This window comes from Homo sapiens, chromosome 13, assembly GCF_000001405.40.
Source record: "Homo sapiens chromosome 13, GRCh38.p14 Primary Assembly".
Lineage (NCBI taxonomy): Eukaryota > Metazoa > Chordata > Mammalia > Primates > Hominidae > Homo > Homo sapiens.
In genome coordinates this window covers 37910423-37915990 of record NC_000013.11, presented here as the reverse complement: position 1 = coordinate 37915990, position 5568 = coordinate 37910423, and the positions used below count along the sequence as shown (strand labels likewise).

Here is a 5568-nt window from a genome sequence, read left to right as displayed (position 1 = left end):
GTATGCCAGAAGAAGAAAAAATATTAAAAATCAGGCAACAGAAATTGCCTGTGAACATGACCAGATATCAGATTTAACAGAAAAGGACATAAAAATTGCCAATATAAATATGTTTACAGACCTAAAGGAAAGCATAATTAAAGAATAAAAAGAAATGATGATGACAATGCCACATCAAATAGAGAATATCAATAAAGGAATAAACATGATCAAAAAGAACCAAATGAAAATTCTGAAGTTAAAAAATATAATAAATTTAAAAATTACTACTAGATTGAGATCAACAGTAGATGTGAACTAACAGAAGAAAGAATTAACAACTTGAAGGTAGGCACACAGAGATTTTGCAAGCTGAAGGACAGAGAGAAAAATGAATGATGAAAAAGGAACACAGTCTCAGATAACTACGGAACACCAACATACACATAATAGTAAGAAAGAAAGAAGTAGGAAAAATATTTCGAGAAATAATGACTGAAACACTCCTGTATTTATAAAAAAAAAAAGAGTAAGCATCCAGAACACCATAAACTACAAGTGTGATAAATATGAGAGATCTACAATCAGAAAAATAGTAGTCAAAATTTTGATTATCAAAGATGAGAAATTCTTGAATGAAGCAAGAGAAAAATGACTCATACCTTACTGAGAGGGGAAAGGAAGAAACGAGTCAGGCAGGCAGTTAGGGTGGATCCTTGGAAGAATTCTTTCAAACCAAAGAATAGCCAACAGGCACAGATAAGGTAACTTGCACAGGGGGGTTTGCCTAGGATATGCCCACAGCCACAATATAAAAAAGGCTACACAAGTGATTTGCCCAGACATGCCCACTATGGAAAATTCCGTCCCCTGACACATGCACATTAAGAGGAACAAGGCAACATGGAGTAGCTCAAGCTAAGGGCCCACATATTCATTAGGAGGATGGAGTGGAGCTATAAGAAATTTGCACCTTATGCAAATGAGATGCCCAGGCTTCATCCATTTCCTGTAAAAGCTTTGCATTCAACTGTAAAGCAGCAACCCTCTTTCAGGGCCCCCTCTTCACCACAGGGAGCTTTTTTCTTTCACTTATTAAATTTTTGCTCCAGCCTCACCCTTTGTGTTCATGCTCCTTAATACTCTTGGTTGTGAGACAAAGAACTCCTGGTGATATCACACAATAAAAGACTGCTACATTGTGGTGCATTGGCAAGTCTGTAACATTACAAGGGAATCTCAGTAAGATTAACATCTAGCTTCTCAGAAGAAACAATGAAGGCCAGAAGGCAGGAGGATAACATATCAAAAGTGCTCAAATAAAGAAACTTTCCATGAAGAATCCTATATCCAGCAAAGCTTTCTTTTAAAAATGCAGACAGAAAAAAGGCTTTTCCAAATAAACAAAAACTGAGAGAATTGGTTGCTAGAAGATCTACCTTATGAGAAATACTAAAGGAAATTCTATAGGCTGAAAGTATCTGGCCCTGGTCCCAGATGGTAATCTGAATCCAAATGAAAAAATAAAGAATACTGGAAAAGGTAATTATGTAATTATAAAAGAGAGTAGAAATGTACATTTTTCCTCTCTTCATAACAGATTTTAAGAAGCAATTGTAGGTGAGGTGCAGTGGCTCACGCCTGTAATCCCAGCACTTTGGGAGGCCAAGGCAGGTGGATCACTAGAGGTCAAGAGTTTGAGACCAGCGTGACCAACATGGTGAAACACAGTCTCTACTAAAAATACAAAAGTTAGCTAGACGTTGTGGCACACACTTACTCAGGAGGCTAAGGTGGAAGAATTGGTTGAACCCAGAAGGCGAAGATTGCAATAAGCCAAAATCATGCCACTGCACTCAGCCTGGGTGACAGAGAAAGATTCCATCTCAAAAATAATATATGTATATGAGGTATTACTGAGTCCACAACATGTGAAAATGTAACATATGCATAATATTTGCCCCGAACAGCACAATAGATGTGAAAGGGTGTATTGGGCTAAGGAAATGACTGTAGGTGGTAAGTAATAATTATAATAATTTATTACTGAATTTATAACATTTATATATATAATATATATAGCATGTCACAAAAACTGTGGGGAGGGGAACAGAGCTATATAGGAGTAATGCTTCTATATATCATGGGATATAAACTAATATAAATCTGAAGCTAATTTTAATAAGCTAAAGTGTATACATTTATAAATATACATGCATAAAATGTAGAGTAACTCAAAATTTATAGTTAAAACATCATTATAAAATTAAAATGGTATATTAGGGAATATAGACTTAATGAATTAAAAAGAATAAGATGGGTAACAGAGGAAGAAAAAAGACATGAAAAATATAGGGAACAGAAAGGTAAAATGGCAGGTGTAAATCCAAATATATCAGTAATAACATTAAATGTGAAAAGGTTAACAGTCCCAGCCAAAAGGCAGAAACTTCCTAAGTGGTTTAGGAAAAAAAATAATCCAACTATATGCCTTATACAGGGAACATACTTTAGATAGAAAAAATATAAATTGAATGAAAGCAAAAGTATAGAATAATAATACAGTATGTAAAAAGCAACTACAAAAAATGGGAGTGTCTGTACTAATTTATACAAAATGGACTTTAAAACAAAAAATGTTCCTAGAGATAATGAGGGATATTTTATGATTATGAAAGAGTCAATCTATCAGAAAGATATAACAATTATACACATATATGTGCCTAAAAGCAAAGCATATAATACATGAAATAAAACTAATATAGGGGAGAAATTGGCAATTCCACAATAGTAGTTGGAGATTTTAATGCTGCATTGTCAATAGTAGAACAATAGAGAGAAGATAAGCAAGAAAACGATTCTTGAGCAACTCTATAAAACACCAAATTATATAACTTAGATGAAATGGACAAAATCCTACAGGCACAAACTACTGACTGCCTTAAAAAGAAATAAATACTCTGAATAGAGCTGTAACAAGTGAAGAGATTAAAATAGTAATTTAAAAAACTCACTAAGAAAAGCCTAATTCAGAGATCTTCATGAATAAATTCTACCAAGCATTTGAAATAATTAACACCAAATTTTCTCAAACTTTTCCTAAAAACAGAAGAGGAAAAAACACCTTAATTTATTTTATGAGATCAGTATTACTCTGTTACCAAAACCAGACAACACATCACAGTAAGAGAAAACTACAAACCAATATATCTTATGAATATGTACACAAAAATCCTCAACAAAATACTAGCAATCTAAATCCAATGACATATAAAAATAATTGTACAACATGACTAGGCTATGAAGTCAAATTTATCTAATATCAGTACTACCACTCCTGCTTGTTTTGACTAATGTTTGCATGCTATATCTTTTTCCTTTTCAATGTACCTTTATATTTGAGGTGAGTTTCTTGCAGACAACATAGAGTTTGGGGCTTTTAAAAATCCATTCTCCCAATCACTATATTTTAATATATGTATAAACTATTTATATAATATACTTTTTGATATAGGGCTTAAGTCTTCCATTTTATTTTTTGTCTTCTGTTTGTTTTCTTGTTTTGTTGTTGTTGTTGTTGTTGTCATCTCCCTGTTTTCCTTTCTCTACTTTCCTGTGTGTTTCTTGAAGATATTGTAGAATGCCATTTTGAGTTATCAAAAGTGTTTTTGAGTGTATGTTTTTGTCTAGTTTTTTTGGAGGGGGGGCATTTAGAACCAAGTCAGACTATATTATATATTTTTTTTGCTTCAAACATCAAAAATTATTTAGAAAATTCAGGAAGAGAAAAATTATACTGTATTTACCCATATTTTTACTATTTCTGTTGTTCTTTCTTTCCAATGTTCAAAGAATCTTTATGGTGTCCTTTTTGTTTAGAGGAGTTCCATTAACTAATCTTTTAGAGTAGATATGTTGGTGATAAGTTTTTCTTCATTTCTTTTCATCTGAGCATATCTTAACTTTTCCTTTATTCCTCAAGGATACAAGGGAAGGTGGAACAACCTTGGTAACTGCCTAGTAGTGATAGGGGTTCAGTTCCTCCACCCAGCATCCCCTAGTACTCAAAGATGATCTTATTACTGGTTGGATGTAGAGGTTTGGGGGAGTACCTTATTATCTCTTGGTGATGGTGAAAGCCTCATATTTCTGGCATCGCCACAGCCAAATATGGAGGGTGGTACCTTTTACAGCAGAGTAAGAGAATGGAAGTCCAGGCTTCCCTCCATGTGGTATCAACTGACAAAAGGATATCCTGGAAAGTTACTGCCATCCAGGGATGAAAGACCTTTCCCTTGCTCAGCAACAGGTATACTGGAGTGCCTTGGTACAGCTTCACTACGCTAGGAATCTAAGCTCCCCACTCGGCTTTTGCTGGCAGTGTTGGTAGTAAGGCTAGTTTTTCCCAAGATATTTGACTGAAGTAGAGTAGTTATCGTCTAAACGTTTTCTGTTTCGTTAGGCTACCCCTTTCCTGGTCCTTTTGCTAGAGGGAGCAGGCTTGTGTTAGGACTATTTTTGTCTGTACCTGTTGGCTTTTTCAGATTGCTGGCTTCTTCAGCTCCAAGTCTGGAATATATAAGACAAGAGGTAAACCCAAAAAACTCACAGTCATTTTATTCCTTGAGTACTGAAGTCCCTAGCTGATCTACCATATTCTTTCATCATCTTCTTACGTTTATTTTTCTTAATGTCCAGGTTTTTTAGTTATGCTTAGTGGAAGCAGAAGTCTACTTTATACTTTGTAAAAAAAATCACTTTACTACCTTGCTTAAATACCCTTAATGTCTTTAGAGTTTTCTTAAAATAAAGTCCAATGAAGTTGAATGATTTCTAGATCTGGCCATTACTTAATTTTACAGTCACATTTCTTCACTGTACCCTTTTATATTCTATGCTCCAAGTAACACTGTGCTCTCTTTTTCCCTTAGGCTGGTTCCTCTCTCTGAAATGTTTCTCTTACCCACTCTTAACCTGAAGATTATCTTTCTGGTTTCTGCTTAGTCACAGATCTTCCTTGACACATCAACCCAACCCCTCCAGCAAGCTTCCATAACGTCCTGTTCTTACTTTTCTCAAAGGCCTTTGCACTTACTGTGTTCCCTATTCAAAGTACTCTTTCCATAGCATTCTTGTTTGTGTCATTCAAGGATCAGCTAAAAAATAACCTTTTAGTGAGTTCTTGTCTGAATTTTAAAACTAACACAGACACCCAAACAGCCAGTTGTTAGTACATCAAACCAGTTTTTTACCTTAGTTAAAAAACCTAAAATTTTTAGATTTTATTTTATTATTGAAGACTACCTGAGGCACTGTTGACCTCAGTCTCTAGAATGTCAATTGCGTGAGGAAAGAGTCCATTATGTTCATTTCTGTGTTTCTAGTGACTATAAAAATGCTTGGCTCTCCATAGTAGACACATTTTTATTTATTAATGTCATATTAACTGACTTTTCATTATATGATAGGTGCTTGGGATGTATCAGTTAACAAAAACAGACAAATCTACCTGCTAATGTTGAGTTTACAGTCTGATTTTATATTTGAAGATGTTATATTCATAACATTCTTACATTTTACTATGAGAAG

At 34.3% G+C, this 5568-nt stretch overlaps 1 annotated feature.

Annotated features, from left to right (window-relative positions):
* Window positions 771-1323: an enhancer, noted in NCBI's record as "OCT4-NANOG hESC enhancer chr13:38488805-38489357 (GRCh37/hg19 assembly coordinates)". NCBI's record gives its function as "activates a minimal SCP1, AML or CMV promoter by ChIP-STARR-seq in primed H9 embryonic stem cells {active_cell/tissue: H9 hESC(primed)}" and the evidence as "EXISTENCE:reporter gene assay evidence [ECO:0000049][PMID:30033119]".